At 40.2% G+C, this 20,600-nt stretch overlaps 1 pseudogene across 1 annotated transcript in view, besides 1 other annotated feature; it reads left to right on the top strand.

Moving 5' to 3' along the window:
• Positions 1-20,600, top strand: part of KRT18P55 (keratin 18 pseudogene 55) — a 31,397-nt pseudogene that overhangs the window by 5,866 nt on the left and 4,931 nt on the right. The window lies entirely within an intron of this gene.
• Positions 18,231-19,430: an enhancer, noted in NCBI's record as "MED14-independent group 3 enhancer chr17:26609113-26610312 (GRCh37/hg19 assembly coordinates)". NCBI's record gives its function as "activates an origin of replication core promoter dependent on BRD2, BRD4, P300/CBP and CDK7 cofactors, and independent of MED14, by STARR-seq in HCT116 cells {active_cell/tissue: HCT116}" and the evidence as "EXISTENCE:reporter gene assay evidence [ECO:0000049][PMID:35650434]".

Here is a 20,600-nt window from a genome sequence, read left to right as displayed (position 1 = left end):
TTGCAGTGAGCCGAGATCACACCACTGCACTCCAGCCTGGGCAACAGAGCAAGACTCCGTCTCAAAAAATAAAATTAAATAAAATTAAAAAGTAGCATCCATGGACCAGGCGCGGTGGCTTAGGCCTGTAATCCCAACACTGGGAGGCTGAGCGGGCGGATCACTTGAGGTCAGGAGTTCAAGATCAGCCTGGCCAACATGGGGAAACCCTCCTCTACTAAAAATACAAAAAACGATTGGCCAGGCATGATGGCACGTGCCTCTAGTCACAGCTACCCAGGAGGCAGAAGTTGCAGTGAGCTGAGATCGTGCCAGTGCACTCCAGCCTGGGTGACAGTGAGACTCAATCTCACAAAAAAAAAAAAAAAAAAAAGCATCCATGGGAATAATTGAAAAAATCACAGTACTAAACAGAGAGAATAGATTGCTTGTTTCTCACAGACTGGTTATTGAATTTCTTGTTCTTTCACAGAGAAAGTTTTGATCATTTCAGAGATAGACAAGTCTGGTTTGTTTTTACTTTGTTATAAGTTATTTTGATGTGCCTCCTTGTGTTACCCATCATCCTTAAGCCTATTGGATTTTTGATGAATGTTTATAAAACCTTACCCTAAGCCTATTGGACTTTGACAAGTGTTTATAGAACCGTTTTTCTTTTATTGGTGGGAAAGGGGACCAGACTGAATACTAGCCCTTCCTGCAGAGTCACAGGGCTGCCTCTTTTCCTCCCAAAGCAGGTAGTTTGAAATGATAGGAAAGTTCCAGGTTTTCTGTGTTGGTCATTCACTTGCCCTGGGAGGTTGGTGAGGGGAGGGGATACTGGGAGAAGTGTCTATTGTTTCTGTTGCCTTTGTTATGATTGGAAAGACTTAGAGTGGCCTATTCACTATTTTATTATAGTCCCTGAGAAAGTAGATTTAATTAAATAACAGTTTTAACCTAAAGTTTTTGAAGAAAAATGCCACTACCATTTTTTTTTCTGAGAAGGTGACAGCATCCTCTTGAGTGGTTTTGTAAAAATGGCGCTAATGTGTGTAACTTAAATTTTTTCGGTTTTCTCCTTCTCCCTTTAACATTTGCTTTTCCTTTCACTGTTGTCAGTCACAACACGCTGCTCTTGAATCTCTCAGCTGGCCTTGACTTGTGAATTTACTTATGCTTTCACTCTTCTTTAATACATACATTACTTGCAAGCAGTGAATTGAAAACAAGATTTAAAAAAAAGACCATCAATCAACTGTGATTGGACAGTTTCTTACTTTGTGTTACATTTATTTATTTATTTATTTTGAGACAGAGTCTCGCTCTGTCGCCCAGGCGTGATCTCGGCTCACTGCAAGCTCTGCCTCCCGGGTTCACACCATTCTCCTGCCTCAGCCTCCTGAGTAGCTGGGACTACAGGCGCCTGCCACCGCGCCTGGCTAATTTTTTGTATTTTTAGTAGAGATGGGTTTTCACCGTGTTAGTCAGGATGGTCTCGATTTCCTGGCCTCGTGATCTGCCTGCCTCGGCCTCCCAAAGTGCTGGGATTACAGGCGTCAGCCACCGCGCCCGGCCCACTTTGTGTTACATTTAACTGTTCTTTTGACAGCCCAGTTTTGAAAGCCAGGTTTGTATGGAAATGCTCTCACTCCACTTGGACTGCTTTCGGAAATAGTGTACTGCTTCATTTGCATGTTTATTTTAGTGCATTCATAATATAACACAGTCAGCATAATGTCTCATCTCCACTTAGCCAAAGATTGAGTTTCCTTTAAAAAAAAATAATGACAACAACAAAATGGGAGGGAGGAACAATTTTTGTCAGCATTGTTTAATACCTAAATCTTGGTGCCAAATATAGTTACAACATGAGTCTATTAAGAGATTAAACAAGGCCGGGCAGGTGGCTCACACCTGTAATACCAGCACTTTGGGAGGCCGAGGCAGGCGGATCAGTTGAGGTCAGGAGTTCGAGACCAGCCTGGCCAACTTGGTGAAATGTCTTCTCTACTAAAAATACAAAAATTAGCTGGGCATAGTGGTGGGCGCCTGTAATCCCAGCTACTCAGGAGGCTGAGGCACAAGAGTCCCTTGAACCCAGGAGGTGGAGGTTGCAGTGAGTTACTGCACTCCAGCCTAGGCGATAGAGTGAGACTCAGTCTCAAAAAAAAAAAAAAAGAGAGAGAGAGAGAGATTAAACAATAATCAACCATATACTCTTAGAGTCATTCTGCTATCCTTGCCCTTTCTAGAATTATTCAGTTGTAGGAATTATGATATGAAATAAGGATTTTCTGCACAGGTAAGTTTGTTTTCATAGTAGTAAAATAAGGGCCTGTTTACCTTTGTTTTCTGCAAACATTACTTATATTGAGACTTTTAATCTTTTTTTTTTGGGGGGTAAGAAAGTTATAAATAGATGCTGAGCACTGGGTAAGGGAATGCTTTTCCTGGCAGTTCATTTGGGAGGGGAGAAGGGAAGAAGCCTCAGCAGCAGTAGTGTTATATTAAGTTTTCGTGATGTATAGTAATGTGGAAGTCAGCACTTGGCATCAGTAGTGTTTCTAATTCTTTCAGTTCATATGTAGCAAAAATAACTTGCAGCAAACTTTTGTGTACCATAATGATACCATATATATATATATATGTATGTATATTTAAAACAATATATGTTTTGTTTTAGAAACAATTTTTCATTATAGTTTGCCTCCAGTTTTTGTTTTTTAAGAAGTATCCGGGGCTAATGCCTGTAATCCCAGGACTTTGGGAGGCTGAGGAGGGAGGATCACTTGAGCTCAGGAGTTCTAGATCATCCTGGGCAACATAATGAAACCTTGTCTCTACAAAAATGTAAAAAGTAGCCAGCCAAGGCCATGTGTGCCTGTAATTCCAGCTACTCGTGAGGCTGAGGTGGGAGGATTGCTTGAGCCCGGAAGGTCAAGGCTGCAGTTAGCTGTAATTGTACCACTGTACACCAGCCTGGGCAAGAGAGCAATAACCTGTATCAAAAAAAAAAAAAAAAGTGTCCTGATTTTCCCCCATCAAAGAAATAATCAGCTGCTTAGCCCAGTTTTGTAGGTTGTATGCTATTATAAATTTAAGAAGGAAATTGTCCTTTAAAAACAAAACACAACTGAGCATTTGGAAGGCTTAATTTTCTTCTGACTTCTAGTTAGAGAAGATAACAGTAGAACAATGTTTTTCTTTCCTCAATGACTCCAAAGAACATTTTATCATTGAATATGGAGATGTAAGACAAACAATTTAATGTGCAATATTTGGTTTTAATGCAGAAATTTGTGGTTTAGTCAGCTTTATAAATTGATTTCAGGAAATATGAGATTATTTTCAAATGGTTTACCTTTGTTTTCTGGTAACATTACTTATATTGAGACTTTTAATCTTTTCTAGATTAATACTATAAATTACATTTTAATACATATAGAATACCTTGTGTTTAGAATTTTTCAATCTTTTCCTTTGAATGTATAGCACCATTTTTTCTGATACGGTTAGTGCTTATTTTAGCCTTGTCTTCGTACTTCACAATAACTGTAAAAAGCAAACAACTGGACAAAGAGCTGCAGATGTTTCTGATAGCTTGACCCCTTAAACAAAAGCTGACATTTAATCATTGTTTTTAGCATTTTTTTTCATGTAGTTTACATTGGAATACCTTTTCCAGTGTGCTCCTGGGAAGATGAGACATTATGTATGTTGGTTTCTCCCCACTACGTGCACTAATGGTTCTTTTTATTTATTTATTTATTTATTTTTTGAGAGGGAGTCTCGCTTTGTCGCCCAGGCTGGAGTGCAGTGGCGACATCTTGCCTCACTGCAACCTCTGCCCCCTGGGGCCAAGCAATTCTCCTGCCTCAGCCTCCTAAGTAGCTGGGATTATATACATATATATTTTATATATGTGTGTGTGTATATATATGTGTGTGTGTATATATATGTATGTGTGTGTATATATATATATGTATATATATATATATACACACACTTTTCTAAAACCAATCAAGTCTAGCCTGGATTTTGCTCTGATTGTTTTTTTCATTTCTAGTGGTGGGACAGTCTTACATTTACAACTTACTTTGTATCATGAAAGCCTGACACATAAAACAACTAAACACAATGTATATTATCTTTAAAAAAGAATCTTAAAGTGGTGCTGTTTAGGTGGTAGATATGACTGTATACGTACTTTGATTTTATGTTTTTTTTGAGACGGAGTCTTGCTCTGTCCCCAAACTGGAGTGCAATGGCACGATCTCGGCTCACTGCAACCTCCGCCTCTGGGGTTCCAGCAATTCTTGTGCCTCAGCCTCCTGAGTAGCTAGGATTACAGGCACCTGCCATCATGCTCGGTTAATTTTTGTATTTTTGTAGAGACAGAGTTTCACCATGTTGGTCAGGCTGGTCTTGAACTCCTGACCTCAGGTGATCTGCCCACCTCGGCCTCCCAAGGTGCTGAGATTATAGGGTGAGCCACCGCGTCTGGCCTATTTTATGCTTTTTAATGTTACTTTAAAACTTCATAAATGTATTCTTCCCCTTTTCCCTTTCCCCTTTTTCTCCATTTTAAAATGTTATGTACGAAAGTTGCCCAGCACACCATCAGAAAGGACCTTTATCCTATATGTTCTTCCCATATAAAATACTAGCCAGCTTTTCTTTTTACATTAGTGTCCCTCTTATTGGACACATTTACGCTATTATTAGCACCTTTTTGCATGCATATATGTAGAATTATCGCTTGCTCATCATCTGTTTAAGTGTCACTAGGCAGGGAAGAATATACTATTGGAATATTTTTGGTTTGTCTCTATGTTTTGTCTGTCAGGATAATATTGGACACTGCTTACTCCAGAAACATGGGTGGAAGCTGGGCCAGGGATTGAGAAAATCTCTTCAGGATAAGTCTTTACATTTACCAAAGAAAAAGAAAGAAAACTGTTTCTGATGCAGATCTTGTACCTGAATATATTTGTTGTCTTTCTAAAAAGGTGCTTGGGTTTTTCTGCCTCCCTGCCTTTCTACCCTTAGATTAGTCTATTTTTCCTATAACTGTATTTTAAGTCACTGTTAAATTTGCCAGTAATTTGCAAGAGTAAGCTGCTGTGTCATCGAAACTTTCAAGTCAAATATACTGTGTGTGGCTCAACCTGTTTTTAATTTTTTTTTTTTTTTTGGTGGAGGTGATGGGTGGGTGGAGTGAAAGGAATGCAGAATATCAGAGTATGCTTTATTTGTGCTATTTAGTAATGTATTGTGGCTTCAGTATTATAAAGAGAATCATCCAGTAGCAGAGTTTAATTTTTATCCTTTTAAATTCTCCCTGAAGCTGGTGATTGCCCTGGCTCTTTTGCTCTGCAATAAGAGATCTGTGTAGTGGTAGAAAGAAAAATTAACCCCCATGAAACATAAAATGAAAGCAGGGGTTTCTGAGGGCTCTCTAAGCAGAGAGGTTATTTCTCAGGTTCCTATCAAGGTCTGGAAAATGTATGGCTCAAAGTTTCCATTGCATTTGTTACCCTGTTTAACTATACCAGTCATTTGGATTATTTCAGCTTCTGAGTTCTTGCTAGTTGGAAACCAAGCAGCTGCATTCACTTTTTAGCTCTCTCGGATTCAAGAGCTACTGTTTGTTCTTTGCAGATGTGATGTGAATGCTGCCTCAGAAATTATGGGAATCATTGTGCCTGTACATCTGGTCATGGGGGAGCTTATTGTATAAGAGCATCTTTGGGGAGAAGTGTGCTACTGTTGACGAATTCTTTGAATTTTGTAAATTGATTTTGACAGTTTGAATGCTGAAGTCTGATCAATTCAAGTGTGTTGAGAGGAACAAGGACAGGTGTAGTGGCTCATGCCTGTAATCCCAGCAATTTGGGAGGCTGAGGCAGGAGGACTGTTTGAGGCCAGGTGTTCAAGACCAGCCTGGGTGACATAGCAAGACCCCATCTCTATTTTTTTAAAAAAGAAAAAATTAATTAATTAATTAAAGAGAGAGAGAGAAACCAAGAGGATAGGACTTGAAATATAGGACATTTCAGTTATTAAAACCTTTACTTTTTAAATTCTACTTCTGCAAATTCAGTGGTGACAAATGGGAGATGCTCAATAAATATATTTTGATGGAATATTCATCACTAAGCATTAACCTATTCTTTTGGGGAGTTCGAAAGGTGCGATTACCTTTAAACTTGTTTTCCAGTGGCACAAGAATTCTTTGCAAACACTACAAAGAATACTCTGATTAAGAGCAATTTGTATGGTATAGGCCACAGATTGGTTTTTGTTTGTTTGTTTGTTTGTTTGTAGATGGAGTCTCACTCTGTTGCCCAGGCTGGAGTGCAATGGCGCAATCTCAGCTCACTGCAACCTCTGCCTCCCAGTTCAAACAGTTCTCCTGCCTCGGCCTCCTGAGTAGCTGGGATTACAGGCGCATGCCACCACGCCTGGCTAATTTTTGTATTTTTAGTAGAGACGGGGTTTCATCATGTTGGTCAGGCTGGTCTCGAACTCCTGACCTCATGATCCTCCTGCCTCGGCCTCCCAAAGTGGTGGGATTATAGGCGTGAGCCACTGCACCTGGCTAGACCGCAGATTTTGTAAGAGCCCAGGAGAGAGAAGATAATGAAGACTGAAATAGAGTTGGCTTTTTGATAGAATTTGTCCCATTGGTTTGCATAGTTGTAAGTGTTGGGTTGAACTGAATGGAAGTGATTGCTTTAGAAGAAGACCAGAAGACTAGATTTGCTTTTCCCTCCAATTTGAAATACCACTTCTATTCCAGGACACCCAGGAGCATTGTTGATTGTTACTCTCTTTGTTCAGGCACACAAGGTGGGGCCGTTTCATAGTAGCTAGCAAATCTGTTTGAATCCCAGAATGTTCATTTTAAGCATCAGAGACTTTAAAGTACAATCAGAATCTGCAGAGAGGAAAGGAGGGGGAAGAGATAGATAATGTATTTAAGAGAGCATAGGTAAATGGCTACTCATCTACTTTGAGTGATCCAAAATTATTATCAATTTTTGTTTTTAAGGAGATTTTAGGCAGGGTGCTGTGGCTCATGCCTGTAATCTCAGCACTTTGGGAGGCTGAGGCAGGAGGATCACCTGAGCTCAGTGAGACCAGCCTAGGCAACATAGTGAGACCCCATCTCTGTCTTCTCTTATGCCCCCCCCCAAAATTAGTTGGGCATGGTGGTGCATGCCCGTGGTCCGAGTTACTCAGGAGGCTTGAGGTGGGAGGATTGCTTGAGCCCGGAAGGTCGAAGCTGCCGTGAGCCATTATTGCACCACTGGGCTCCAGCCTGCGTGACAGAGTGAGACCCTGTCTCAAAAAAAAGGAAATAAAAAAGAAGAACAGTTTAGAATTTTGGTTCTCTTTAAGCTTTGACCTTCTTGAAAAGAGGAATAGGTTTTCTCTATATTTTACCTCCATCTCCATGGTAACAGGTATATATAGTAAGTACTCAATAACACATAAATCTATTCATTTAAAAATACAAGGGAAATTTAAAGCTCATTTGAAGTTTTTTTTTCTTTTTAATTGTTAAAAAATACGTAACATAGCCAGGTGCAGTGGCTAGCACCTGTAATCCCAGCACTTTGGGAAGCTGAGACAGAAGGATTACTTGAGGCCAGGAGTTGAGACCAGCCTGGGCAATATAGCAAGACCCCATCTCTACAAAAAAAATTAAATTGGCTGGGCTTGGTGGCACACACATGAAGTCCCAGCTACTAGGGAGGTTGAGGTGGGAGGATCACTTGAGCCCAGGAGTTGAGGGATGCAGTGAGCTATGATTGGGCCATTGCACTCCAGCCTGGGTGACAGAGCGAGACCCTGTCTCTGCTTAAAAAAAAAAAAGAATTCCCCCTTTCCAAAACATATAGCATAAAATTTACCATCTTAACCATTTTTAAGTGTACAGTTCTGTATGTTAAGTATATTCACATGTTGGTGTGAAGTCCATCTGTTTTAAATGGTTAGTGTCTTTATTCTCCAAAAAGAATGGAGCCTTATTCTGTTTCCAACATTAAGAATTGAGTTTGTTTCATAACTGGCTGTTTATTTCCTAGTGTCAGATTCAACAGTGTGCAGGCATTGTGCTGGTTTCTCTCACGTATCTCCTTCTGTAGCACCCACATAATTTTACCTAGAATATATCCACATTTATGGCATATTGAAACAAGTTATGACAGATTTCTTTAACTGTACTAAACCTTTGCTATAAATAACCACTCAAGAAAGCCCTGTCACTCTGGTGTAAACAGTCATGCCTTCTTGTTTTTTTTGTTTTTGTTTTTGTTTGTTTTGTTTGAGATGGAGTCTCACTCTGTCACCCAGACTGGAGTGCAATGACGCGATCTCGGCTCACTGCAGCCTCCGCCTCCCAGGTTCAAGCGATTCTCCCACCTCTGCCTCCCAAGTAGCCAGGACTATAGGTGGCGTGCTAACACATCCGGCTAATTTTTGTATTTTTAGTAGAGATGGAGTTTCACTATGTTGGCCAGGCTGGTCCCGAACTCCTGACCTCGTGATCCGCCCATCTTGGCCTCCCAAAGTGCTGGGATTGCAGGCTTGAGCCACCGCACCCAGCCGCCTTCTTGGTATTTTATAGACTAGGCATTGCATGTAATTTCTGGGCTTATGCTTTTGTAAGCTCTTTGCATTGACTAGTTTATTGTCAACTTGCCTTTTTATTTGAGTTTAGGACTCTAACATATCTAACACGCAACCATCCACTAAAATTTTAAGCCTGGTCTCTTTGGGCTTTCTTTATCAAAGGCTTAAAAATTATCTTGACCCATGCAAGGCTTTTGCCAACAAAAGTTGCAGTCCTTGAGGCTCCAATGCCAATATCTTGTCACTGGATAGATGGGAGAATAGGGCGTGCAGACTCTGAAGTGAAGTTATCTGTGGCAGGATACAAATTGAACTTTGTAAACTGAGTTTATTTTTGTACTTCTATTTTCATATTCATGTTTTGTTCTCCCTTAGTATTTGCTAAAATATTTCAGAAGTTTTAAAAAAATTATCATATGTGGCAGATAAGTGATTGTTAGTATTAAAAAATAAAAGACCTGCAGAAAATATATGTTGACAAGATATCTGAAGGAAACAACACAAAGAAAGCACAACTGATGAGAAATATTATGAACAATTATTTATTGTAGAAGCAGAAGATGTGTTTAATTCAGAGTAAAGCAAGAGTGAATGATAGTTGTATTTTGTAGCAGTTGGACTAGATTCAGTTCTGGAAATTGTTTTATAACCTTTTGGCAGTTTTGAAATGAAATGTAGTTCAACATTTTTATTTTTCTGTGAAATACATTTAGTCAGTAGGTGTAGCCCAGTAGGTGTAGACTTACATTGTCTAAGAACTGTTTGATGATTTGGCTGAGTCTTTGGTCACAGACAAAAGTTTAGCCCCTGGGAAAAATAAGTGGGATCTGATATTATTTCATATCTCACCCTGTCTAGAAGTTTCGATCAGTACATTTAGACAACCAACAAATATTTACTGACCTAACACTACATTCTAGTTATACCAGCTGTAAATACTGTATGACAAGGAGAGAGTAGATAAGATGGTTCCTGACCTTCAGGTTTATTTTCCAGTCTCCCAAGCCTTATTTGTTTAAACTGCTGTAGACCTTTGAAGTTTCCTTAAAGCCAAGGATGTTTTCTACTTCTGTGTACTCCTTTCATGCTTAGAATTAAGTATGTGATTGGTCTGAATATTTAATTGAAAAATCGTTTCAACCTCCTTGTGAGTAGGAAGTCTCATTAATTTTTGCATAAAAGTACTTGGTGCAGGATATAAAAGCAGAGTGCTAATATTTGGAAATATGAGATCTGGGTTTGAGTTTGGCACTACCAATTCCTATAAGTAAAGGGACAAGGTACCACCACTGAATTATTTTCCTCAGCAATAAATGGAAATTAAAATCTCTACCCATCTTCTTAAAGAGTAGTTATGAAGACAAAGTAAGTGAACTCACATTATACAAACTGTAAAAGTGCCATATAAATGCTTATTATTAATACCTATTGTATAGTACATAGTTATTTTAACTGAATTAGAGATAATCCATCCTTAGGTCTTCCAAGTCTAACAACAGTACTAGTTAATATGCTTTGTATGTGATAGATGTTGGACTTCAGGATCTGTGCTTTTAATGTTATATGTGTTTTAGGACCCCTAAATTCCTAATTTTGGTGTTGGTTTCACTAATTCTGAGCTCACTAGTCATCTCTACTTCTGAGTCTAACTTCTAAAAAATCATCTAAAAAGAGCTTCAGTTACTCAGTAGTGGTGTTGGGACAACTGAATAACAACCCAGAATTTAAATAACTGGATCCCCATTGTCATTCCTTACCCCAGATAGATTCCAGATGAATAAAAGCTTTAAATGTAAAAAATGAAATCATAAAATTATTAGGATGAACAATGGTGGAATTATCTTAAAAATAATATTTGAATAAGAAAAACTTTTCTAAGCTTAACCCAAAACTTAGAAGCCATAAGACATGGACAAATATGCCTAGTATTCCATTATTGGAATGCTAAGCATCTGGGAGTTATTCGTGTCCTACTGTTCAAGGTCATTGCCAAGGTCTGATTGCAAAAATTTAAAAAATTGCAACCTCAGGCATAAATGGGTTAAGAAAAGTATAAGGCCAGTCACAGTGGCTCACACTTGTAATCCCAGGACTTTGGGAAGCCAAGGTGGTGGATCACTTGAGGCCATGAGTTCAAGGCCAGCTTGGGCAACAATAAGACCTCGTCTCTACAAAAAATTAAAAAAAAAACAGATTAGCCGGGTATGGTGGCATGCACCTGTATTCCTAGCTATTTGGAAGGCTGAGGTGAGAGGATCGCTTGACTCCAGGAGTTTGAAGTTGCAGTGAGCTATGATCCCGCCACTGTACTCCAGCCTGAGCAACACAGCAAGCCTGCCTCAAAAAAGGAAAGGATAAATTTGGTTATATTTCATCATAACAAAGTCAACAAACAAATAGACTGGGAAAAATATCTGTAATATCTCATTATAGGCAAAGAACAACTTTGCTTCAGGGATTTATCAGTTTAAGAAAGACCTAAATATAATAGAAAAGGGGAAATGGTATGAACACTGTGTACAGAAAGGCAATATAGATGGCCTTTACTTTTTATTATTTATTTTTTTGAGATGGAGTCTTGCGCTGTCGCCCAGGCTGGAGTGCAATGGTGCAATCTCGGCTCACTGCAACCTCCAGTTCTCAGGTTCAAGTGATTCTCCTGCCTCAGCCTTGTGAGTAGCTGGGATTACAGGAGAGAGCCACCACACCTGGCTAATTTTTTTGTATTTTTAGTAGAGACGGGGTTTCACCATGTTGGCCAAGCTGGTCTTGAACTCCTGACCTCAGGTGATCCACCCACCTTGGCCTCCCAAAGTACTGGGATTACAGGCGTGAGCCACCATGCCTGGCCACAGATGGCCTTCAAATATATGAAAATATTCTCAACCATTCTCATAGTAAGAGACGTGCATATTAAACTATGAAATGTTAGCTTGGTAAGATTATGGGAAAATAGGTACTTACACCATAGCCATGAGAATAGAAATTGGTGAAAGCCACTACAGAGAACAATTTAGATTACTTAAAAATTAAAATGGAGGTATTCTTGAATCCAGCAATTTTTTTTTTTTTTGAGACCATGTTGCTTTGTTGCCCAGACTGGAGTGCAGTAGCATAATCATAGCTCACTGCAGCCTTGATCTCCTGGGCTCTAGTGATCCTTCTGCCTTAGGCTCCTGAGTAGTGGGGACTACAGGTGCACACCACTATGCCTGGCTAATTTTTAAGAAACTTTTTATAGAGACAAGGTTTCACTATGTTGCCCAGGCTGGTCTCAAATTCGTGGGCTCACGCAATCCTCCCACCTTGGATTCCCACAGTGCTGGGATTACAGGTGTGATCCACCATGCCTGGGCTAGTCGTGCAATTTTTTTTTTTTTTTTTAGATGGAGTCTTGCTCTGTCGCCCAGGCTGGAGTACAATGGCGCGATCTTGGTTCACAGCAACCTCTGCCTCCCGGGTTCAAGCAATTCTCCTGCCTCAGCCTCCTGAGTAGCTGGGACTACAGGCACCCACCACCACGCCTGGCTAATGTTTATATTTTTAGTTGAGACGGGGTTTCACCATGTTGGTCAGGCTGGTCTTGAACTGCTGACCTCATGATCCGCCCGCCTCAGCCTCCCAAAGTGCTGTGATTACAGGCGTGAGCCACTGGCCTGGCCATATTCATGCAATTAACAAAATTTTTAGGATATAAAATTCTTAAGCATTTCTTCCTGGTTACTAAATAATTAATATAACACACAGTTGCTTCCTGTGTAATAACACGTACATTCCTTTTGTTGATATTGAAGCAGATTTTTCAAAGTTTTGTTAGTTTTATTTGGAATATATCTCCAGACATCTCACACATCTTTTAAAGAACATTGTATTATGTTTTGGGATTGAAATAAATAAATGTAAAAATTTTACTTTATAAAATCATTAGCTGAAAAAATGTGTTAAGAGAGATGAACATTCTCTACAGCTTGGGTAGTAAAACTGAGGCATTTTATTGTGAAATATTAAAATGGTGCATTCTGTGGGTATACAGGAGTGTGCCTGTAAATTTATGTTTGTATTTGCTTGATGATGAAGATAAAAATTTGTGTAACGATAGACTCTCTGAAGGGAAACTGAGTTGCATTTTCCTGTATTTAAAAAATTTGATATCGGCCGGGCGCGGTGGCTCACGCCTGTAATCCCAGCACTTTGGGAGGCCGAGGCGGGCGGATCACGAGGTCAGGAGATCGAGACCATCCCGGCTAAAACGGTGAAACCCCGTCTCTACTAAAAATACAAAAAATTAGCCGGGCGTAGTGGCGGGCGCCTGTAGTCCCAGCTACTTGGGAGGCTGAGGCAGGAGAATGGCGTGAACCCGGGAGGCGGAGCTTGCAGTGAGCCGAGATCCCGCCACTGCACTCCAGCCTGGGTGACAGAGCGAGACTCCGTCTCAAAAAAAAAAAAAAAAAAAAAAAAAAAAAAAATTTGATATCATGTACTTGTATTACTATTCAAAAAATATAATTGTTTTAGAAAAGACCTAGAGTGGGCAGAGTGAAAGCAGAGTAGGGTTGGGGCATTTCTTCGGTTTTGCTTATGTATACCTCCTTCCCAGTCTTGTTTCAGTTAGGAAATAAATGGTGACTACAGTAGAGTAAGGCCTGCATTAGGTAAGTCTCAACAATATTTAGTCTACATTTTATGACTAAATGAAAATTAGATTTTTTTTTCCACTAGAAATGAGGTCTTGCTATATTGCCCAGGCTCCTGGCCTCACACAATATTCCCACCTCAGCCTTGCAAAGTGCTAGGATTACAGGCAGAAAACTAGATTTGAATTCAATACAATAGAATAGAAACATGTAATGTTACAATTTAGGCCTTATGGTTAAATTAGAATGCTAATTAATATTGCACTAACTTCTGACCTGGTGTGGTGGCTCACACTTGTAATCCCAGCACTTTGGGAGGCTGAGGCAGGAGGGTAACTTGAGGCCTGGAATTCAAGACCAGCCTGGACAACATAACAAGACCCTGTCTCAACAGAAATAGAAAAATTAGCCAAGCCCAATGGCACATGCCTGTAGTCTTAGCTACTTGGGAGGCTGAGGGGAGAGAATTGTTTGAGCCCTGGTACTGGAGGTTGTAGTGAGCTGTGATGGGCCACTGCACTTCCTGCATTCCAGCCTGGGCAACAGAGCTAGACCTGTCTCTATAAATAAATTATGCAAGACCTGTCTCAATCAATCAGTATCAATATTTTACTAATTTCTTAAGAAACATCATTCTTTGAGAAAATATTTTTATTAATATTATAGTGACATAGATACATTTTTCTGAATAGACTTTGCAGAAGCTAAGTTGTCTTTGTATCTTCCTTTTCCTTTTCTTTCTTTATTTTTTTATGAGATGGAGTTTCACTCTTGTTGCCCAGGCTGGAGTGCTGTGGCATCATCTCGGCTCACTGCAACCTCTGCCTCCCAGATTCAAGTGATTCTCCTGGCTCAGTCTCCCAAGTAGCTGGGATTACAAGCACACACCAGCACACTCAGCTAATTTATTATATTTTTGGTAGAGATAGGGTTTCACCATGTTGCCAGGCTGGTCTTGAACTCCTGACCTCAAGTGATTGGCCCGCCTTGGCCTCCCAAAGTGCTGGGATTACAGGCGTGAGCCACCGGGCCTGGCCTTACTTTTCCTTTTCAATTCATATTTTCCTTTGTAAAAAGGAAATAATGCTTAATATTTATTATGTGCCAAATATTGATCTAGAGTCTAGATGTTTTGCATTGTCTCATTTAATGAAATAGATATTAGTATGCTCATTTTATAAATTGAAAGTTTTGGAAAGTTTATACAGCTACTGAGTCTCTGCCATTCAAACATAAGCCTGACTTTGAAATCAATATTCATACCTTTTCCCTTCTCAGGAAAAGCTGATACTGAAAATAGGAATAGGTAGGTGGTAGGATAGCAAACATGCAGCTCCCCCAAATCACAAAGCAAGGTATGGATTGTCAGAAAGGCTGAGTTATACAGAGAGCTGGCGTAGCTGAAGGAGCATATAGCTGTAATCTCTGTTTTTTTGCTAATTAAATGGGCCTTGGAGTCTTTATTCAGTTGCCAAAGGCAAGCATAATTTTAGTTATTTACAAACCAGATTTAATAAGGTATGGGCTCTATAGAGTCTTTGACCTTTTTAATGGAATAAATATAAACAATAGAAAAGAGGCCCAGATAATAAACAAGATTAGTCAGAATTGGCTGTCAACAGTAAGAGGTTAGGTTTTAGGGATAAAATAGAAAAGGAAAGGGCCGGACGTGGTGGCTCATACCTGCAGTCCCAGCACTGTGGGGGACCAAAGCAGGAGGATTGCTTGAGGACAGGAGTTCAAGAGTAGCCTAGGCAATATAGCGAGAGCCTGTCTCTACAAAAATTAAAATAAATATGAGGATGAAAGGGATTGCAGGAGAGGAGAGGGAATGAGAATGGGGAACTTGCATGCTGTATATAAAGGGACTACTTGTTTCCTAGTACAGAGATCATCACATTTAAAGGATAAATTAAAAGACCTTAAATGTGAGTTAAGTCAAGAAAAAATAATAATCAGAAAAGAAGTTGCAGTTCCAGTGGCATGTGCCTGTAGTCCTAGCTACTCAAAAGGTTAAAGCAGAAGGATCAGTTGAGCCTGGGAGTTTGAGCCTGGGCAACATAGTGAGACCCCATCTAAAAATTAGCCAGGCAAGGTAGTGCACACCTATGGTCCTAGCTACTTGGGGGGCTGAGGTAAAAAGATTGCTTGTGTCTAGGATTTGAAGGTTACCGTGAGCTATGATTATGCCACTGCACTGCAGCCTGGGCAACAGAGCAAGACCTTGTCTCTAAATAATAAAAATAAAATGCTATAAGGGTTCAAAAGAAGAGTGACTAGGGATGACTTCGGAAAGAAGTCCTGAGGAGAGAGGAATAGGTATTACCAAAGACAGGAGATACTGATGTATACACAGTAATTGCAGTTGACAAAGAGTAGGCATAGCTAATTGGAGCAGATTGTGTCTATGGCATAGTGGATTTCATGCATTCTTTAACAGAAGAAACCACCTCAAAATTTTTTTTTAATGTTGAACTTCAGTATATGAAAGAGAAGGGAAGCCCACACAGTGTTTTTTTTGTTTTTGTTTTTGTTTTTGAGACGGAGCTTCGCTCTTGTCACCCAGGCTGGAGTGCAATGGCGTGACCTTGGCTTACTGCAACCTCTGCCTCCTGGGTTCAAGCGATTCTTCTGCCTCAGCCTCCCCAGTAGCTGGGATTATAGGCATGAGCCACCACGCCTAGCTAATTTTTGTATTTTTTAGTAGAGACAGGGTTTCATCATGTTGGCCAGGCTAGTCTCGAACTCCTGACCTCAGGTGATCCACCCGCCTCAGCCTCCCAAAGTGCTGGGATTACAGGCGTGAGCCACCACACCCGGCCCACTCAGTTGTTTTGATTGAAGCAGAGTTCTAGGTCTCCAGGAACAGTTTAAAAGCTATAGGCTGGGTGCGGTGGCTCACGCCTGTAATCCCAACACTTTGGGAGGCCGAGGCAGGTGGATCATGAGGTCAGGAGTTTGAGACCAGCCTGGCAACATGGCGAAACCCCATCTCTACTAAAAATATAAAAATTAGCTGGGCATGGTGGCGCATGCCTGTAATCCCAGCTACTTGGGAGACTGAGGCAGGAGAATGGCTTGAACTCTGGAGGCAGAAGTTGCAGTGAGCCAAGATTGTGCCATTGCACTCCAGCCTGGGCGACAGAGCAAGACTATCTTAAAACAAAAACAAAAACAAAAACTGTAACTAGGCTGGGCGCGGTGGCTCACGCCTATAATCCCCAACACACTGGGAGGCTGAGGTGGGAAGATCTCTTGATCTCAGGAGTTTGAGACCAGCCTGGGCTACAATAGTGAGACCCTGTCTTTACAAAAAAAAAAAAAAAAATTAGCCTGGTGTGGTGGTGTGCACCCTTGTTCCTAGCTACTTGGGCAGCTTAGGTGGGAGGATCACTTGAGGCCAGGAAGTTGAGGCTGCAGGGAGCCCTGTCCATGTCAGTGTGCTCCAGCCTGGGTGACAGAGTGAGACCATGTCTCAACACACACACACACACACACACACACACACACACACACCCTTATAACTGGAAGGCAGAAATGGGAAATATTAGAATAGGCACAAATCTCATACTTATTTATTGTTTACTATGTGCTAAGCACTTAACAAATATCTCATTAAAATCTTATAATAGGCCCCTGAGAGAATTACTGTTATTCCCATTTCGTGTAAGAAACTTCTCTTTTGTGTAGAGAAGTTTAATAAGTTCAAGGATAAGCAACCAGTAAACTATAGAATCAGGATTAAGATCTTAGGCCTTCTGCCTCCAAAACTCATGCCACACTGAATGTGGAAGGCTTTAATGCTCCTTCAATGCGGAATTGTATTTTGTAAGCCAAAGGCAATTTTTGATCAGAAGAGAGGTATAGACTTATAGCAAGAAGAGATACTGAAGGCTGGACATGGTGGCTCACGCCTGTAATCGTAGCACTTTGGGAGGCCAAGGTGGGTGGATCGTTTGAGCTCAGGAGTTTGAGAACAGCCTGGGCAACATGGCAAAACCCTGTCTCTACTAAAAGTACAAAAAAAAAAAAAAAAGTTAGCTGGGCATGGTGGCGTATGCCTATAGTCCCAGCTACCTTGGGGACTGAGGTGGGAGGATCGCTTGTGTTCAGAAAGTCAAGGCTGCAGTGAGTTGAGATAATGCCACTGCACTCCAGCCTGAGTGACAGAGACCCTTTCTTAAAAACAACAACAACAACAACAAAGAGAGATTGAAGATAATTTAATCTAAAACTCATTATACAGTTGAGAAATTTATTTTTAGCATTCTACAATGTTTTAGTGATACTGCTGAAACCCAAACCCAAATTCTTTTATTTGAAATCTAAAGCTCTTTCCATTACCCCAGCCTGGCATTTGTGGTGGAAATAAAATAATAGTCTGGTCAATGTATGTCTGAGGAGGGAGATGGAAAACCATTTAGAAAGTTATCTGGGTATGAGTGTAGATAAAGGCTTGAAAAAGTAATAGCACTGGAAATGGAAAGGGAGGTATAACTATGAAGGTTGATAAAACACGTGAACTATGAAGCACAGTATATAGTCAGTTTATGCACGTGTTTGACTAGCAAGCCCCTGTTCACTAGATTTATTGTTAATCCTTTATAACAGCTATCATTTATTGTTTACTGAGTGCTTGCACATGAATTATCTAATTTAAATCCTCTTTGAGATAGACATTCCCATTTTATAGGTGAGGAAATTGACATTCTGAGCAATAATTTGCCCAAGGTCTTATAGCAAATAAGTGGTAGAATCATGGTACTGAAACCTATGCTTTTAACCAATATGCCTTAACATACCTAAACTGTAGGTGCTAGTTCACTTCTCTATCCTGGGGAGATATGATAGTGGTAAGGAATACCAGTGCTACAGAATTGAAATATACTGGGCCGGAAAAAGTGGAGATAATTCTGAATATGATATATTTTCTTAGGGCACTTGAAGTCGTAATATATATTTTTCATGATGAGTATAAATTCACTAGAAACCTGAGGTTAAAATTGAGTGGTAAGAACTTTTGCCAAATATTTAGGGATGGAAATTGGTGTCCAGGGAAAAAGAAAGTACTGTAACTTATATCTTATACTGTAATTTCCTCCCTGATTTCTTCTTATACTTTATATTTCTCTCCTGTGGCATTTTAAATGTTCTCTCTTGTATAATTTTTGTTGATGTGTGTCTTTTACCCTCAGTAGACTGTAAATTCCTAAAGGATAGTAATTACTGTGCATTTATGTATTCTCTATTGTTGCTTTTCTTGTTTTGTATTCTGCATTTGTTTATTGCATGCTTAGAATATGCCAGATCTGGGTCGGGCGTCGTGGCTCACGACTGTAATCCCAGCACTTTGAGAGGCTGAGGTGGGCGGATTACCAGCCTGGCCAACATGGCGAAATCCTGTCTCTCCTAAAAATACAAAAATTAGCCAGGCATGTTGGTGCATGCCTGTATTCCCAGCTACTTGAAAGCTGAGTCATGAGAATCACTTGAACTCAGGAGGTGGAGGTTGCAGTGAGCCATCTGGGTAACAGTGTGAGACTCTGTCTCCAAAAAAAAAAAAAAAAAAAAAGCCAGATCTGTACTAAGTCTTTAAGAGTGAGTAAAATATAACGTCTGCCCTTCTGCTCTCCAGAGGCTTATTTCTAATAAGGAGACAAATGTAACAAATTTAATACAGTATAATGACTGTTGTAATTATGAAGTTAAAGGTACAGTGGAGGCTTAATAGAGAACTGAGCAATTTAACTTAGAATTTCAATTTGTTGGCCAGGTGCGTTGGCTCATGCCTGTAATCCCAGCACTTTGGGAGGCTGAGGCAGGCGGATTACCTGAGGTCGGGAGTTCGAAACCAGCCTGACCAACATGGAGACACCCCGTCTCTACAGTACAAAATTAGCTGGGCCTGGTGGTGCATGCCTATAATCCCAGCTACTCAGGAGGCTGAGGCAGGAGAATGGGAGGCGGAGGTTGCAGTGAGCCGAGATAGCGCAATTGCACTCCATCCAGGGCAAGAAGAGTGAAACTCCATCTCAAAAAACAAAAAAAAGAATTTCAATTTTTTTTTTAATGATTAACAAGTGAAAAGTCTCAGCTTGTGAGAATAAAGAAGCAAGCAACTATTTTCTGTACATGCAGCTATACTTGCTGATAGATACGTGGAGCACAGGTGTCTGTGAGTTAGTGGAATCACTTTATTCTTCCATGAGAAGCATTGGTATTTTAAAGTGGGATGAAACCTGAAAATAAGAATACAAAGTAAAAAGTGTTTTATAAGAAATCTATTTTATTAAAGAAAATCTTTAGAAAGTTCATTTAAAATTTACCACCAAAATTCAAAGTAATGGTGCTTAAACATCTGGAAAAGAGAACAAAGTGTAATATCTTTTCATGTAGTGTAATATCTTTTCAAATGTAGTTTATTAGTTTAAAATCCAGTTTTTCCTTTCTCACTAAATCTTCTCAAACCAGTAGATAGAACTCCCACTGGATTTTCTTGTAACTCCCATTTGGTTCAGAAGGAGGGAGCAAAGAAGGTAGGAGCTGGGGCCTCGTGGTAGCATACATATTTGAAATTGACTGAGTGTGAGACAATAGCAAGTGGTGTGAGTTGTGCCACGTTTAGAGAGGACTGATTATTGCCACCTAGGATTATAGTCTCAGTGTAACATTTTAAGGTTATTTGAAAATTTCTGAACTTACCTGAACAATGAATGAATAAATGAAAAAAAATGAAAAAATAAACATTTTACACTTAAATATTTCATTTAGATGAACTTTATAGAGGAGCTAGTAGCCAAGCTTCTATTTTTGAGATCTCCATAATGGTAAAGGGGGTCACATTTGTCCCCTATGTAGTCCAAAATCAGTCCCCTGTCCTGGACCTTATCTCTAGAGAACCTCAGTATGTCTGGGGCACAAGAAGCTCTACATTTAGGGCTGGGCTCAGTGGCTCATGCCTATAATCCCAGCACTTTGGGAGGCCAAGGTGGGCAGATCATTTGAGGTCAGGAGTTCGAGACCAGCCTGACCAATACAGTGAAACCCCGTCTGTACTAAAAATACAAAAGTTAGCTGGGTGTGGTGGTGGGCACCTGTAATCCCAGCTACGGTGGAGGCTGAGGCAAGAGAATTGCTTGAATCCAGGAGGTGGAGGTTGCAGTGAGGCAAGATTGCACCACTGCACTGCAGCCTGGGCTAGAAAGTGAGACTCTGTCTTAAGAAGCTCTACATTTAACAAGCCCTCCAGGTAATTTTGATGAGCAGCTGGGCTTAAGAACCTTATCTCAAGAACATTTTTTTCCTATACAGGTTTTGCCCTTTGATGAGCTAAATGTAGAGGCA

The sequence above is a fragment of the Homo sapiens genome, chromosome 17 (assembly GCF_000001405.40).
Source record: "Homo sapiens chromosome 17, GRCh38.p14 Primary Assembly".
NCBI classification, from domain to species: domain Eukaryota; kingdom Metazoa; phylum Chordata; class Mammalia; order Primates; family Hominidae; genus Homo; species Homo sapiens.
Note: the sequence above shows the minus strand (reverse complement) of the source record. Positions and strands in the feature narration are given on the sequence as shown.